We start from the raw sequence: 17,918 nt of genomic DNA on the forward strand, positions 1-17,918 counted from the left end.
GTTCTTATAGAAGGAACACTGGATGAGTATTTAGAGGGTCTGTGATGTTGTCCTGGCTTTGCCACTTTTTGGGCAAGTGGTTTAATCTCTCAGGGACTCAGGTCACCCAGCTGTGAAATGGGGATGCTGACAGTAAGCATCAGAGGTGGCTATGAGGACTGAATTAAGCGAGGTGGTGTGTGTGCAGGGCTTAGTGTGATGCTGGACACAAAGCCCACTCTAAATGGTTAGAAAGACTTTGGAAGCATGTTTTTAGCTCAGTGCCTCGGGAAGTTCTGGAAGGCTTCATCCCATGGAAAAACAAGGAGAGCTGTGTGTCTTCACTCAGTTCTGGTTCATTGGTTACACTTGTTTTTCTTTTAAAGATACATTCTGAAAGGACTGCTGTGTATTCTGTTTTCAAATGGATCGATTTGGCTGCAAGTACTGTCAGTCAATATTGAAACTGAGCTCATTCCTTTTCCATACCTCGGAAGCACAAGGGGAGATTTCCAGTGTGAAGGGCGAGTCTTCCTTTCCCCAGGTTAGCATGGTTGGCCAGGGCTCACGGAGTGCCTGTATGTGGCCAGCTTTGGTGATTCAGCCTGCTGAAGGTCAAGGACCCACGGGAGAATCTGATTGAATCTCATGAGAGGCATGACTCGCTCACCATCAACATGCCGAGAGGCACACAGTTTGCAATTTCAGGGGCTGGGGCTCCAAAACCAAATCTTATGAATCTGGCAATTTGAGGATTGAAAATTGTTTGGCCTAATATAAAAACCACACTTCGGGCCCCTTCTGGGTAATCCTAGCTTGGATCTTGTTTGGGGGCCAAACGGCTGGAATGACCATAGAAGTAGGCATTGTTGTATGTGACCAGGAGGTCATTCCTTGTGAGTCAGCTCCTTTCTGAACCTCTGAGGGTGATTTTTATGGCAAGGAATAAATGTCCCACTTGGACATGTGTGCTCTGTGCTCACTCTCTGCTCAGAAAGCCCCTCCCACATTTCTGCTGTGTGCCAACTTGGAAACTTTCTTCAAGATTCTCAACTGTCATTGCCTCCAACAAATCTTCCCTGATTCCTCACCTGTCCTTGTGTCCTTCCTCTGTGCCCAACAGTAGTGTGTACACATGTCTGTCATCACGTTGCCTTGCTGTCATGACGTGTTCCCTAATGTTTCCTGCACAAAACTGTGAGCTCACGTCAGGTTCAATGTCTGACCCATTCCTATACCCCAGTGCACAGCATGGAGTACCAAGAAGATGTTTCCATTATTGTGACCTGAACTGAGCCTCCTCCCCGGAACCCCCTCACCCCAGACTTGTTCTTTAAGGCAGGTGCTCATGTGTCTCTCTGAAGCCTGTGCTCTCTCCTTTTGTCCAGCACTGCCCACCGCCCTGACGTGTTAGCTGTAGAAATTCATCGCAAAGAGTTGCTGCTTGGCTGATCTGAGCCTGTTAGTAAACTTTCTGCACATTCACATTTAGGAAACAAATAGGATTAATAAGACTGGCAGTGTGCAGTAACTCCAAGGCTGGTTGTCACTTACAGTAAGGCAGCCACATCAATGCCCTGGTGCACTCCAGTGGTTTCCAGAATGGAAGTAATGGAATTTCTGTAGTTAAGTGCCTGTCAGTCCTGTGGCTGGGGCACTCCTGTGTAAATCTGTAATAGAGAAGGAGCCATTATGGGCACCTGGCATGAGGGCTAGGGAAGGCAGGGTTGGCCCAGGCCCTAAGGCTGGTCGTGGCCTAGGGACCAAACCTGCACAAGCACAGAAAATGACAATTCTGTAGTCTTTTCCCTCACTTTGTTTTTCTTGGGTCAGAATGCAATTTGCGTGGGAGCAGGGGACAAGCCCATGAATGAGTATCGCTCCGTTGTGTACTATCAAGTCAAACAGCCACGCTGGATGGAAACAGTCAAGGTAATAATTAATAATAGCAGCAAACACATGTCTAGTTCTTACCATGAACCAGGCACTGTTTTAAGTGCTTTATTTAAATAATTTATGTATTGCTTACAACAGCCGTGTGAGGTTTGTACTAATATTTCCTTCATTTTATAGTTGAGGAAACTGGCACTGAACAGGGAAGTAGCCTGACCACGACCACGCTGCTAGGAAATATCAGAGCTGGGATTCAAACCTGAGCAGTCTGGCTCTGGGTCTGTGCTCATCCCCGCAAGCTGAGGGAGCAGAATACTGACTGGAACAATTAGCATTCTTCTTTTTTTTTTTTTTGAGACAGAGTCTCACTCTGTTGCCCAGGCTGGAGTGTAGTTTTACCATCTCTGCTCACTGCAACCACTGTCTCCCAGGTTCTAGTGATTCTCCTGTCTCAGCCCCCTGAGTAGTTGGGATTACAAGCGTGTGCCACCACACCAGGCTAATTTTTGTGTTTTTAGTAGAAATGGGGTTTCACCTTGTAGGCCAGGCTGGTCTCAAACTCCTGATCTCAAGTGATCTGCCCACCTTGGCCTCCCAAAGTACTGGGATTATGGGCATGAGCCACCACACCCAGCCTTCTTCCTTTTAATGAGAGCAGTTGAGCAAGGCAGTTCTGTGCATAGACCCTAGGCCCAGAGAGTCTGGGTTCGTATTCCAGCCCTAATGCTCACCAATGGTGTGACCTTGGGCAAGTCATTCACCTGCTCTGTGCCCTGGTTTCCTCACCTGTAAAATGGGAGCAATAGGTTGACTGTGGAAGTAAAAGGACTTAATACACATAATACTGTCAGACAAGTCCTTGGAAGAGAGTACTTATTCAATTAATACAACTCTTGATTATACTTGGCAGTTATCTCAGTCTGCAAAATTGAACTAGATTTTGCATTCCTTCAAGATGCCCTTCAAACACTTGACCCTTGCCTGTTTTTTAACCACCCCTCTACAGGCAGTCTAATTGGTAGTGGCAGGCAGCTTTGTGCCTCTCTGTGTAGTTGTGGGGAGAAGGCAGAGGGAAGGTATAGTTGTTCCAGATATCTGTTGCAGTCTCCCTCCAGGTCCTTCTCATATGGCATCTCCCCGCAAAATGTTTTGTGGAATACTAAGTGGTGTTTTATTAAAATAACGTTTTAGGCCAGGTGCAGTGGCTCATGCCTGTAATCCCAGCACTATGAGAGGCTGAGGCAGGTGGATGACCTGAGGTCACGAGCTCGAGACCAGCCTGGGCAACATGGTGAAACTCTGTCTCTACTAAAAATAAATACATACATACATACATACATAAATGAGTCGTGCATGGTGTCATGTGCCTATAGTTCCAGCTACTCAGGAGGCTGAGGCATGACAATCACTTGAACCTGGGAGGCGGAGGTTGCAGTGAGCTGAGATTGCACCACTGCACTCCAGCCTAGGTGACAGTGCGAGACTCCTTCTCAGAAAAAAAAAAATTCATACGTTAAATGTATTAAAATAACATTTCCTGGTCAAATGTGAGAAACTTGAGAACAAATATAGAAGTTAAAGGCTTCCTTATGTCAAGTTCTTAGAGCCCTTGAGATGTAAATGTGCTCTGCAGACCTGCAAAAGGAAATAAGAATGCAGAGCACGTCCCAAAACTCGTTGACTACCGAGCATTTTCCTTTTTCCTAGTGTCATATCCTGGGGCTAGGATTCTGTTGAACATATTTTAGAAATTCTTTGTTTTAGCCAAAGCAGGTGGGAGGCTTGATGGATCAATGTGATTGTGAACAACATATGAGAATATATTATGTTTCTCTTCATGAAATATCTAACTCAATTCTGAGGCCAGTCATGAACATACTGGAGGGACATAGAGTGACAGAAAAACTTCTTTAGCTCTAGTTTATAGCAGAAGTCACCATCTGTAAGAGCTTAGGGTCCTTGGAGGCACCTCTCTGAATCTGAAATGACCCCCTAGCATGTGTCTGGTGGTATTGTCAGCCAGTGGAAATGGAGGCCAGGTGGGTGAGCACCCTGGTTCCCTTGATCACCCTTCCTTGGTGCAGGATGTAACCAAAGTGGAATTGTCAAATAGTCCTCTTGTGGGTGGTGCCCAGTTCATCAAGCTGCACCATTCTACTCAGCAATGAGGAGTGACAGAGCTTGCAAGCCAATGTGAGCCTATCACAGGCTGTATAATGCCTGAAAGATGCCCTTTTGGAATAATTCCTTGACAGAAGTGACATTAACTACAAATATTACATTACCAGATCGTCACACTAAGCAGAAAGGAATAACCTGCATTGGAATAAGGATTTGGAATTAATTCAGTGAACACTGCAGCTTGATCATAGCTTCAGATATCTCTGCCTTATCATTAGCAGCATTCTTTATTCCCCCCGGGCTCTGACTCCAAACACAAGATGCACACTTGACTTCCTTTTCAGTGAGAGCTATTCAAACCCCAGCGGTTCTCCACTTATTACACATATTATTACTTTGCTCAGTGTGTCTCCCCATACCCAATGCCTTCGAATTGATGACCCGGTCAACTCTGTGGTCAGAAAGTTAATGTACCAGGTCAGGTTTCCCTTCTCTGTTCTCTCTTGCACCTCAGTTGTATCTCCTTGCTAGCCCTTGTCACAGGGCTGTTACACATTGCCCCATGTGTAACACGGAACAATGAGCTCTTTGAGTGTGAGGACTCTGCCTTGTATCAGCATGGCCAGCACCCCACATGATTGTAGCTTCTAGTGAACATTCAACACTCAGGGAAAGAATGAATTGGCTGCAGTTACCCATGAGACCCTCAGTTCCTTTGCTCTGCCTGAAACATAGACAGGATGGTGGACCTCCTCAGGCTCAAGCCTCATTTTCTGCAACAGAAAGTGCCCCCAAGTATACATTTGTTTTGGCGTTTAATAGGCATCTGTACAGTACAAATGTATTCCTTTTTAAAATCAGTGTCCTTCTCTCAGGTAGCTAACCTTCTCCGCATTGGCCTGAATCTCAGATTGCAGAGGAGCTGTGAGACTTTGGGAGGTGGGCAGCACAGAGCCAGGCTGAAAGCATCACAATCAGTGGTACCAGTGGGTCATTCACTGGACAGGGATGCCTGGGTGACCAGTGGGTTGTTGTCTTAGCTCAGTGTCCTTGGAATCAAAAACATCTGGACATGTGTCTGATCAAGGGTGAGATGAGCCCTAGGATTTTTCCAAATATTATTGGATTAAAGCATTTTTATTAATTTGCATAAATGAGATTCCTCAAGCAAACCCCCTAACAACCATTGTTAATTTGCTAAGCCCTGCTGCAATTGCCAGAACTCCTGGAGTGTGTAAGGAAAATGTGCATTGTGCAGTTTGCAGTGCATCAAATCCTGTGCTAAAGTTATGTGACTTTTATATCAATTTGGGGAGACTCATTTTTCCTCACTATAATTTACAGACCTCTTTTCATTGGCTGGGAATGCAATTTGCCAAATGGATTACATTTGGTACTTTATTTTCTCTTCATAGCTAGTTCTTCTGTAATTTATTTACAGTTCATCAGCCTCAATGGATGGGTTGTAAATCAGCAGGCAGCTCTCTCAGTTAAATGGTCAGGCTGCTGTGGAAGTGTGTAGGGGGGTGCAGTGGGGAGGGCCCTTTAACTCATTGTGTTCTGAGCTCTGTTTCTGTCTGCTGAGGTGGCTGTCCCTATTGAAGACATGCAGAGGATCCATCTGCGATTCATGTTTCGACATCGGTCATCTCTGGAATGTGAGTACCATACTGAATGGCATCTCTGCACCTCCCCCTAAGGGGAGAAGAATGGAAGAGCTGGGTGGCCCATGTATCATTTTCTTTCCTGACCCCACAATGCTATTTCCAGCTAAAGATAAAGGAGAAAAGAACTTTGCCATGTCCTATGTGAAGCTGATGAAAGAAGATGGGACTACTCTACACGATGGATTCCATGACTTAGTTGTCCTCAAGGTACCATGAGTTGGAAGGAGCTCTGCACTGAGGGGAGTGCAGGAAGAAAGGGGGTGATGGCAAAATTGCTTAGTGGTCAACAGCAGGGACCCCAGAATCACACACACCAGAGTTTACCAACTTTGTGGCCTCTTATAAACTCTTGACTTCTCTGGGCCTCTGTTTCCTCATCTTTGTGCCCTCAGTGAATATTTGTGAAAATTATGAGACAGTGGATGTAAACATAGCAATGATGAGTACATGGAAGAACTCAATACATGGAAAAGGTTATTGTTATTTACAGAAAGGTTATTGTTAATGACTGTTATATACTCTTGACTCTGTAGGGACCTCTGTGGCATGTGTAGAGGATGTACAATAAACATTTGAGAGATGCTGCATTGTAGCTAATGGGAAAATATTAAAACCTGCAGTCCTGATCCTGCTGCTGACTAAGCCTGGACTCATCTCACATATTTTCCTGAGTCTCAGTTTCTTTTTTCTTAAGCAGTTGTGGCAATATTTATGACAACCCACTAGGATGACCCATGAAAAATGGCCATCTAAACTATAAAGGGAGTGCAGATGTCCACTATTTTTATTTTTACATTATGAGACTTGGACTGTTTTTGAGACATGGAGGAGCATTTGTCTGGTTTTTACCTGCTGCTTTTCCACATGTCCTCTTATGACAACAGAATGCATCTACTAGCACCTGGCTGGAGGCAAGTGTATGGCTGTGAGGTGGAGCAAGGTTGAGTAGCCAGCACATGGATCACACCCTTGCCCTTGGCTTTCTTAGCCTTGTAGGCTGAAATTGCCCTTTTGCCTGTGGGATGCATGGCAAACACAGCCTCGTCAAGGCTTCATCTCATAGTACTCTTGTACTCTTCTCTGAGTCTCTCTGACTTTTCCAGAAAACCCCCTTTCTTCTGTACAGCCTCTGTTTTCTCATTTATCACACATAGAATTCTTGGCTTGAAAGCCCTTCTTCCCTGACAGAATGTGAACTCCTTGGGGTCAGAGGCCTAGTTGCAGTCAATTTTCTTTTACTTACCCCCATTAGGTCCCAGTTTCCTTGACTGAGGATAATAACAGTGTCTGCTTCATATGTTTGTTATGAGGCTTAAATGAAATGAACCAAGACATATAAAACACTTGGTTTCACTCCTGGTGCGGAGTAAGATAAATGTTATCTTCTGTAATGCCTACCTCTAGTCATTCATTTTAACATGCCACTCATTTATGTGTGTATCACTCTGCTATGTATTCTATATGCATTATTCCATATTATCTGCTCAGGTATTCTAGGAAGTAGGGATGATGATTGTCTTCAGTTTACTAATGAAAAAAAAAATGAGACACAAAGAGGCAAAATAGTGTATTCAAGATAGCATAGACCTGTGAATGGCAAAACAGGGTCCAGATCCCAGCACACTCTTACTTAGTGCCTTTGCCATTAAATTCCTCTTTAAGCTAGAGTCCTTATTTTGCTGGTGAGCAGATATTATGGTCTCAAAAAAAGGATGAATTAAAATGTACTGTCTGGGAATTTTCAATTCCGTTTTTATTTTGCCATTAATGAGGTTCACAGAGCTTTCACCTGGTGGATCAACCCCCTTTCTATTAATGTGTCTTTGAATTCTTACCTGTATTGTGGAAAAACAGTCCTGCCTCACCAGCCAATGTCTATTGCTTCTCTGATGATTTTCTTCACTCTTTATGACTCTCCCCACTTCACAGTGTCTAATTTGTCTGCTGCAGGCTCTGTGTGGCATTGGGCATGGAGCCTTGGCTTGGGGCAGTAACCAAGTGTTGTTTCCAGGGGGACAGCAAGAAGATGGAGGATGCCAGCGCATACCTGACCCTTCCTTCTTATCGACACCATGTGGAAAACAAGGGGGCCACGCTGAGCAGGAGCTCCAGCAGTGTTGGGGGGCTTTCTGTCAGCTCCCGGGATGTGTTCTCCATTTCCACCCTGGTGTGCTCCACAAAGCTCACTCAGAATGGTAATCGGGTCATCAAGAGTTGTGTCTGTGGGGAGTGTGTGTGTCCGTGTGTGTGTACATGTGTGTATGTGCTTGCAGACCCAAGGAGGTCCTGATATGGACAGTTAGGCCAGTAATGATACTTCTGAATGTCTGGACTCTATTTTAGTGGGCTTGCTGGGTTTGCTGAAGTGGCGTATGAAGCCTCAACTGCTACAGGAGAATTTAGAAAAGTTGAAGATTGTGGATGGAGAGGAAGTGGTGAAGGTCAGTGGGGCTTCATTTTGATTGTATTCTTACACTAGTGACAGAACTCTCCATGTGGGTGGCTTCAGGGGAAAAACAAGGTATTGAAGGACATGGGGAAACTTTTCTTCCAACAGTAGGATACACTCTCCCGAGTTGCCTTGAGGAATCTTTATTGGGAAATCCAGGGGAGTGACTTGGTTCAATGGCACTGAATGTTGGGTGCCAGAAAACAATGGTTATGCTCAATCTCTGGAAATAGATGAGCCTGGGTGTAAATCCCAGCTCTCCCACATGCCAACTTTATGTGATAATATAAAAGTGACATAGTTCTCAGGGCTGTTATGAGCATTCAAGGTGATAATATTTAAAACTTACTCAACAGTCTCTTACACATAGTACACAACAATTAAACCAAAGCATATAAAACAAAGTTCAATAAATGGTAATTATTATTTTTGTTGTCATATGTTGATATATATGTATATGCATATATATGTATGTATGTGTGTGAGCATATATATGTGTGCATATGTATATATACATATATATATAGTAGTATGATCTGTTAGTACTACCCACAGATCATTGTTAGAAATAAAAAGTATTCTTGGTTTCTGCTGCTTGGAGAGCATTATGTATTAAAGACGGGAAAGGGAAAGACATCAGGGCTTACATTTTAAGTGAAATAAGCAGAAAACAATGCAAATGTCAGATGTATTATTGCATCCACATGGTAGTGGAGAATAGAAAGCGTCTGAAGTGCAAATCTAATTAAAGCAACCCTTCTCTCCAGCCTTATGAATTGGGACAAGTGTTTCCCAATGGTCCTGGAGATCTTGTTTCCTTGATACAGCTAGAAATTCTGAGATTAAACATCTTTATATGGTAGCTCTGTGTTTTGAGGGATTATAGGAAATATTGACCCATCCCTTAGGAGGGAGGAAAATCAAGTTTTATTTAATTGCCTCTACCTGGAGAAGCAGTGGCAGAATTTCCAGATGCCGTAAATGTATACCACTGACCCATCTACCTCGTTCAGCAATGGCAGAGTAACTCCCCAAGACACCACTTTAATAAAGTCTATAGCCTTTTGGTAGCTTGGAGAAGTCATGGAAGAGATGAGGCTTTTGTTGTCTTCCTCTTGCATTCTTTTTTCTTTTTTTTTTTTTAAAAAAGTTTGTTATTTAAATATGATATACATATGATGAAATAGATACAGAGCAGTTATCTTAAGAGTATAGCATAATGGATTTTTACACACGTAAACACCATGTGTACTCACCACCCAGAAGAGGATACAGACCACTTTTAGCATTATAGTAGATTCCCTCATACCCCTTCTCAGCCAGTAGTCCCCCGGGGTAATCACTGTCCTGACAACCATCATTGTAGATGGGTTTTTGCCTACTCTCAAATTTCATAAGAATGGAATAGTGAAGAGTGTACTTTCTGTGCCTGATGTATTTTACTGCATATAATGCTTGTGAGAATCATCCTCATTTCTGCCTGTGGAAGTAGTTTGCACTTTAGTCCAGCTGTGTAGTATTCTCTAGTGTGAACATGCCACCATCTGTGCATCCATTCTGCTGTTGATGGGCAGTTGGGTTCCTCCAACTTCTGGCTCTCGTGAGTAAAACTACTCTAGACGTTTTGAGCATGACATGTGGTGGATGTGTGCTCTCATTCTCTTATAGATAGTTAGGAGTGGGATTGCTGGTTCACCTGTACTTTGTCTTGTTTCTGAAGTAGTGCAACCTTTGTTATTTCTTCCAGTTTCTCCAGGATACTCTGGATGCCCTCTTCAACATCATGATGGAGCATTCTCAAAGTGATGAATATGACATCCTCGTCTTTGATGCCTTGGTAAGAGAGAGGGGAAAAGTGTCTAGTGACAACAGGCATTAATGTATGTCTTACTGTGAAAATACTGAGAACTCATGGCCCTCATGGCCCTCATGGCCTTTTTCATGAATTCTTTGGAGGTGTTGTAATGTTTGGCAACAAGACCAATAATGAGCTGCTATTTCCTTTTGCTTCTTGCCAGTTCATTTGAAAGCATGAGGCATTGTGGGTGAAAGGGGAATTTTAAATGCTGATGTCAGATTGACACTGGCTGAAGGTACATGAGGCTGGATATTGTGAATGATTGCTTCTGCTTTCTATGAATGTTGGGAGCTAGTCCCTGGCTAGGTTGTAAAGCACCAAAAATGTTTCTTAGCTTTCCTTTCACCTTCTTCTCCCCATTTCCTCCAACTCACTAATCATTACATTTCTCCTACCCACCCAGAACTTTTCATGATGCTGTACCATCCAGATCTTCCTTCTTTTAGTCCTCCCCTATGGTCTTTTTGTCCTCTCCCTATCTCGACTCAGATTTTCTCAGTGTTATGTCAAAATAAACACAAGAAACATCTGCATTAGGGAATCAGTGCCCAACAAAGTTTTTAAGTGTTAACCCCTTGTGTCATGGATATTTGCATTTTTAAAGAGGTTACTGAGAGACAACTGTGGCTTAATCAAGTGCTTCCCCAGAGAGTACCCTAGAATGCTAGCTCTCAGAAAAGATGTTTCATGACAAATATATACTTTGATTAATTAATTTAGGGAAGTGTTGAATGTTGCATGACCCTTTTAGAGATTCACAATGTACATAAGTATATTAAAGATTCTAAAAAGTTTTGCAATAAGAAAGTCTAATAATGATAACCTGACATTTCTCAAAACCTATTTGACCATGAAATCCTTTTCATCTTATAACACCCCACAGCACACTTCATGAAACATTTTCTTTGGGAAGATGCTACCTTAATAAAGAGAACTCATTATGTATTAGTGAGCTAATTCCTGGGCAAAGGATTTTAATGGGGGTTGAATTATGCCAGGTAAAGATGGCTTCCTGCCCTGGGTTTGCCCTGAAAATACTGCTGCCTTGCATCTTCCTCAGATTTACATAATAGGACTCATTGCAGACCGGAAATTTCAGCATTTCAACACCGTTCTGGAGGCTTACATCCAACAGCATTTCAGTGCGACCTTGGCTTACAAGTAAGTAATTGTGCACATGGGAACTTCTTCTCTACCACCCTCTTGCCCTGCCAGGATGCCTAGGGCACAGGAACTTGAGTAATTTTCTTTTGTGACTCATCTGTGTGAGCTCTCCATTCTCTAACAAAATCTAACCTATGCTTGGGTTATTTGGATATCATTAAAAATGTGGAATACCCATAGGTTTGGATGAATGCCTTATGGTTGCAGTGGTACCTGGAAGTGCTCATTCATCCATTCAGCTAGCGTGCTCTCATTTCTTGAGTGGACACCAGGACTTAAAGGCTACAGAGAAGACCAGGTGTGGTGGCTCACGCCTGTAATCCCAGGACTTTGGGAGGCTGAGATAGGTGGATCACCTGAGGTCAGGAGTTGGAGACCAGCCTGGCCAACATGGTGAAACCCTGTCTCTACTAAAAATACAAAAATTAGCTGAGCATGGTGGTGGGAGCCTGTAATCCCAGCTACTCGGGAGGCTGAGGCAGGAGAATCACTTGAACCCTGGAGGTGGAGATTGCATTGTGCAGAGATCACACCACTGCACTCCAGCCTGGGTGACAGTAAGACTCATCTCAAAAACAAAACAAAACAAAACAAAACAAAAACAGCGGGGGAGCTACACAGAAGAAAGTGCACATGCCAAGTAGCTCAGTCTGGTTTGGGTGTAGGGAGAGGGTGAGAGATAGGAGATGATGCCACAGGGAGTTTGGTGGGGACCAGTTTGTGAAGGGGCCTTGAAAGTCAGGCCAAGTAATTTGAAGTCTGCCCTATGGTAAAGAAGAAACATAGAAAGTTCCTAAGCAAACTTAGAGTTCTGTGATATTACAAGAGCATGTTCTATAGAAAGAAAAAGTTGAAAAAAAAGACATTATTGCCACCATTATTCCCCATTATTCCCACTTGTAGCCTGATTGTGACTAGTTCTCCTAGTCAAAAGATTTTTTTTTCCTCCCTATCTTTTTCTTTGCTGGCTTTTTATGAGCAGGAAATACTTATTAATTCCCTGTAATAAATATAATTTTTATGCAGAGTTATCTTTATGCTTACAAATGAGTAAGTGAGCTTGGCTCTACTACCACCTTTAACCTTTGATTGAATGCCTTATAATTTACTGAGCAAACTAATTACCATGATGAAAGAGATGTATTTTGAAAATATTATCCCTTATTCAGGAAATTGATGACAGTGCTGAAGACTTACTTGGATACCTCCAGCAGAGGGGAGCAATGTGAGCCAATCCTAAGAACGCTGAAGGCTTTGGAATATGTGTTCAAGTTCATTGTTCGGTCGAGGACATTATTTTCACAGTGAGTACTTGTTATGTAAGAGTGATTGATTAGCTCTGCAATTCCTCTGGGATACAACAGTATTTTTACTGTAGGAGAAACTCGTTTAAAAAATTATAACCAGCTGTCGATCAAAAACAGCTCAAGAATCCAACCTAGAGAGTAATGAATATGTAATAATTGTACCCTCTAAGTTCATTTGGGAAAAAAAAGAAATCTTAACAGGTTGCAGAGTTATGTTTAACCAGTAAATGTGATTTGAGGCTCTTCTGTGTTTCATCTAACATTCTTCATTTGATTTGAAATATGGTGAACATTTTCCAGCAATCTATATCCAATGTTAGAGGGCCTGGGAGCAGGAAGGGCAGAACTCAGGGAGTCTGACATTTACTTGGCTCTTGTAGGTTGTACATGGCCAATAAGCTGGTATTTGCAGTTGACCTGTCTGTCCTTGAGATCCTAGTAGCCAAAAAGTGAGCTGATGTATTAGAGTACCTTAGAAGATTTTGATGGTCAGTATCACAGAGGCCAGCTGCCTTTTTGAAGGGCTTTGGAGAGGAAGGTATTCAAATGCAATTTATAGAAGAACAATTCATGTTCATCTTGGCCATAGGGCAAAGTTAGGTAGAGGATTGTTTGTGTGTAATCAGGTTGGTTGTGTGTGATGGAAAATAAGAAAAACATTCAAGGAAAGTATTGTCTGGATTCTTAGTGCAAACAAAGAACACGCAACTGAAACTGACTTAGGGAGAAATGAGACTTTATTTCACATCATTGAAAAACCAAGGGTGTAGTCGGCCTCAGGCATGGCTGAGTCCAGATGCTCAGCGTTATTGGGATAGTCTCTGTCTGTCTAGATCTGGACTCTGCTTTCTTTTTGTTGATTGTCTTATAAGGCAAGTTTTCCGACGCAGAGGCTGCTAGAATCCTCAAGTTTACATTCTACCAGTGGAAGCAACTCTATGTTCCTTGTTGTCCTAGCAAAACCCTATGCCAAGAACTGTTTTGGGTCTTGTATAGTTGTGGTCATGTGTGCATTACTGGAGTCATAGCCAGGTCAGCCACTTATGGTGTGGACTTGTTATTTTAGAGATGAGTTCTCAAAAGAAACTTGAATTAGCCTGGGCAACAAAGCAAGACTCTGACTCTTAAAAAAAAAAAAAAGACCATCATTGTGATTGTGATCATGACAATGGATGGGCTGCTAAAGCTTTATATTTGACAGTGCATCTGAAACAGGCAATCATTTGGGATTCTCTTAACACATTCTTTGAGATTTCAGGTTATGAATAGAAAGATGTGAGTGTCTTGAACCATGCGACAGAACAAATGCACTTAGGTCATTCTGAAAGTGAAGTGTCTGTTTCAGATTCCTCTGGCTTGTCATTTAGTCAAGTCTGAGTCGGGTATTCTAGGTTTGAGAGATACTTCTCAGTGATTTGGGAAAACCAATGAGACTCCAGTGAATCTAAGAGTGATTTTCTTGGAGGAGTTCAAGAATTCAGACATTGCAGTTACAGCTTAAAAGTCAAGGATATCTTATCCCATCTTCCAAGTGAGAATGTTTTATGTATAAGTAGAATATGTCTTTTCTACTTCTCAGACCTTTTCAGTTCTTCCTTTTGGTGTATTTATTTTATTGCTTCTCCTCTCTCCTATATTTCTTTCCTTTTCCATCCCTTCCTCCCTCCCTTTCTTCCTTCCTTCCTTCCATTTTTTCCTTCCATTTTCAAGGATTGAGCTTCTTTACAAAGCCTCTTGCAGTGCCTGAAGCTCAGACAACCAGCTGCGCTAATCCTCAAGGGTTCTGAGCTTGTGGAATTATACAGAGTTTGGAGCAGGCTGAGCTTCCCTGTTCCATGAGATGGACACTGAGCGGCTCCCCTTCCTACTGGAAGGCACATGGAGATGAGACTGCAGAGCTTCTGTTAAGATAACTCTCTTATTTATTTATTAATTTTGAGACAGAGTCTTGCTCTGTCACTAGAGCAATGGCGCAATCACGGCTAGAGGGCAATGGCACAATCATGGCTCACTGCGATCTCCGCCTCCCACCTTCAACTGATTCTCCTGCCTCAGCCTCCCAAGTAGTTGGGATTACAGGCACGCATCACCACACCCAGCTAATTTTTTAGTAGAGACGGGGTTTCACCATGTTGGCCAGGATGGTCTTGATCTCCTGATCTCGTGATCTGCCCACCTCGGCCTCCCAAAGTGCTGGGATTACAGGCGTGAGCCACTGCGCCCAGCCAGTATAACTCTCTCATGTCTTACGTCTGTTAGTTTTTGTGTTTTCCATCTACTGGGACAAAATACATTTGTGCATTTGTTTTGCTCTTCTCTGCCTCAAGGCATATAATCTTGCAGAACCCCTAACTCTTTAACTGGTGTAAATTCAGTGCTGCTGTGACGTAAATGCTAAGTGACTTTTGGCTTATTCAGGAGCAGGGTGATCTGTTATTCCTTGCTGTATCCCTAGAATAGCAGCACATCACTGACATTTGGTCAGGAGAGGTCTCTAAAGCAACCCAAGCCTAATCTTGAATCCTTCCTCATGAACAGAAATGTAGGCTGACCTGCAAAGACGGTCTAGGACCTCATGCTAGGAGAAGGTAGGTTTTGTGTCTTGTTCTTTTTAGAATCTTTAGCAATGATCTGCTCTCCAGTGGAGTCTCTAGGGCATTGGGAAGCTATTGGGGTATTTCTCCATACGAGGGGGCATCTTCTGTGGGAAACTAGAAAACAGAAGTTTCAATGCTTTGAGATGTCTAACCCAGCTGTTGGGAAATCAGAATTGAATTATTGGTTTGGGGCTAATTGTATCTGGTATTGTGTGTCTGTTTCCTGTGAATCCTTTATTCTCTTTCCCTGCTTGCATAACTGCAGCGGATCTAGCTCCCATTATTTGTTCCCTTGCCATTATTTTTTGCACATCCTGCCCAGGAACACTTGCAAGGGCTAAGGATTTTCCTGTGTCAGTATGCAACGTATAGTTGGGTAAGGAAAGAAGAGTCGTTGTGGAGAAGGGGTGGAATTTTTATTTTACTATATTGTTCAGAAGGATTCATTTTTATCTATAGCCAAAGAAAGAAGAGAGTGAGTTCCTTGTCCCTCGCTTCTTGTGTCACTAGCTCCTGAGTCAAAGTCTGGATCAAGTGTCTCTGATTAGGCACATGCCAGTGCTGTAGCTGCAAAGGAAGCTGGCAGAGCAGGTTCTAGCTTCTGCCACAGGGAGGCAGTCTTATGAGTAATTCCTAAATTATAGGAAGTGTGTCTGAAAGATGCTGGTGGCCATAAATATGTCCAATATCCACTAGGCTTTTGTAGAATGACTGAGCTCCTGGGAGGTATTGAGCATTGTAAGGAACATTCAGAAAGAGTTGAAGTGATAATCTTCTACGATTCAGCTTCTTTACAAAGCCCCTTGCAGTGCCTTTAATCCTGAAGCTCAGACAACCAGCTGTGCAGATGCCCAAGGTTTCTGAGCTTGTGGAATTACACAAAGTTTGGAGCAGACCATGCTTCCCTGTTCCATGTGATGGACACTAAGCAGCTCCCTGTCCTACTGGCAGGCACAGAGAATCAGACTGCAGAGTTAGGATAACTCTCTAAAAGGGAGAGGAACCAGAACACTGTGCTGCAACAGGAGTTGCTCCCACTTGTCTCTGCTCCTCACAGATCCTCATGCTGCCCCAGGCTAGAGTGCAAGGGGCAGCATGGAGTAAGAGTTATGAGGAGATGTTCATGCAGGACAGACAATGGGTATAGTGGTATCTCTGCCTCTATAAGTACCTGGGTTAGTGATTGAATCAGCCTCTCTGAGCCTCAGCATCCTCATCTATAAATGGGGATAAACCAGTTCATTGTGTTTCAATGATGAAATGAGATTATGGGTACAAAGTGCTCCATGCAATATCTGGTACTTATTTCATAAATTTAATAAATGTTAGCTGGTATCATGTTTTCACTTAGGAGAAACAGCAAGGGTGCTTTTTTCAAAAACTCAGATTTAAATTATTAAGAAGAAATTCCAGGGTCTTGATTCAAGCTTAAAATTTGACTTACTACTCATACTATCCTAAACATTTCTTACAGTTTATTTCTCTGGAGGCAGGGATAACTTTTACCAGGTGTCTGTGCTTTTTGAGGACCACAATGTGGTACTCTCCTGGCCCCAGGAATTCACGCTGGTCTACTGCTAGCCCTCACTGGGTGGTCCTGATTCTGTGTGTTGCTCTTATTTCCTCTGTGAGTGTGATCAGGCCCCTCTGGCCAGAGCAGCTGTGGTGCCCGGGTCTCTGGCCCCTGCTTGCTATGCCTGCTTTTCTTTGCATCCTGCCTTCTGCTCTTATTACAGACCTGCTTATTTGGGTCTTGCTTCCTTCCCCATCTCCATTTAACCCTGATCTCCTGCTTCCACAAACTCCTCCTTCACCAGCCCCAGCTCCAGCTCATTTGCTTATGAGAAACTGCCAGCTCAGAGGTGAAAGGCACAGTCTCCAAAGCCAAGTCTGCTTGGGTGTGAATTCTGAGTTGGAATCTTGCCATTACATTTACTAGCATTTACAACCTTGGACAAATTATTTAATCTGCCTAAAGCTCAATTTCCTCATATGTAACACGGTCATAATAGTACCTACCATACAGGGTTGGTGTACAGACTAAGTGAGCCCAATGGATGTAAGGTACTTACTTAGCACAGTGCTGGTCACATAGCCAGTATACATGGTTATTCACTTATCATCTTCAGCAGTCTTCACAAAAATTCTACGGAGGACCCCATTTTCTGACTTTATCTCCTGCTACTCCTCACTCACTTTGTGCCAACCACACTGGACTTGCTGTGGCTCAAGCTCCTTCCTTCCTTGAAGACCTTTGCACCCTTCCCCAGATCCATTTGTTAACTCCCTCACCATTTTTATATCTTTGCTCAAACCTCTCTTTCACTACCCTATTTAAAATTGCAACCCCTGTCCCGAGCACTGCTGATTTCTCTCTTCCTTTTGATGTCTTTTTCTCCCCATAGAACTAAACATGGCATACTATATAGTAATCATGCTTTTGTTGACTGTCCCTTCCTTGCTGGAATGTCAGATCCATCAGTACAGGAACCTTTGACTGTTTTGTACTCTGTGGTACACTAAAGCAACTAGAATGTAGTAAGCACTCATTAAGTATGAAATTGGACACCATTTCTAGCCCCCTTTCACAAAGAAGGAGACTGAGGCTTAGAGTCAAGCTCAATGATCACACAGCTAAGAAATATAGCAGAGTGAGGCTTTGCACTCTGCCTCATCTGATGAAGCAAATGTGAGAACCTGATCATTTTTCTGGGCCATGCAAATGTGAAGTCTGGCTGGCCATGTTGAGGGGCTGTCCTGAGGGAGGGCGACTCTGACTGGAGGGGCTGACGTACTGAGTGACATTAGGGGCTGCTGAGAGGCACATGGCTCCTTGGGTTTCAGTGCTAGGAAGCATGGTAACATCCCTAAGTGCAGTAGGAA

General features: G+C 43.2%; 1 protein-coding gene across 8 annotated transcripts in view, besides 1 other annotated feature; it reads left to right on the forward strand.

The window, feature by feature from the left end:
- The window catches only part of DOCK2 (dedicator of cytokinesis 2), a 446,108-nt gene that overhangs the window by 69,082 nt on the left and 359,108 nt on the right, over positions 1-17,918 (forward strand). For all 8 annotated transcript variants that reach the window (NR_156756.1, NM_004946.3, XM_011534449.3 and 5 more), the window contains exons 15-22: positions 1,813-1,911; positions 5,579-5,651; positions 5,764-5,867; positions 7,672-7,855; positions 8,004-8,101; positions 9,857-9,946; positions 11,028-11,128; positions 12,301-12,435. Coding sequence is in view for 7 of the 8 variants with exons in the window: in NM_004946.3 (NP_004937.1) it covers positions 1,813-1,911; positions 5,579-5,651; positions 5,764-5,867; positions 7,672-7,855; positions 8,004-8,101; positions 9,857-9,946; positions 11,028-11,128; positions 12,301-12,435 (884 nt within the window). In the remaining variant the exon portion in view is untranslated. The remainder of the gene's footprint in view (positions 1-1,812; positions 1,912-5,578; positions 5,652-5,763; positions 5,868-7,671; positions 7,856-8,003; positions 8,102-9,856; positions 9,947-11,027; positions 11,129-12,300; positions 12,436-17,918) is intronic.
- Positions 13,295-13,594: an enhancer, noted in NCBI's record as "active region_23599". NCBI's record gives its function as "activates an Ori minimal core promoter by ATAC-STARR-seq in GM12878 lymphoblastoid cells {active_cell/tissue: GM12878}" and the evidence as "EXISTENCE:reporter gene assay evidence [ECO:0000049][PMID:35858748]".

The sequence above is a fragment of the Homo sapiens genome, chromosome 5 (genome assembly GCF_000001405.40).
Source record: "Homo sapiens chromosome 5, GRCh38.p14 Primary Assembly".
Classification (NCBI taxonomy): Eukaryota; Metazoa; Chordata; class Mammalia; order Primates; family Hominidae; genus Homo; species Homo sapiens.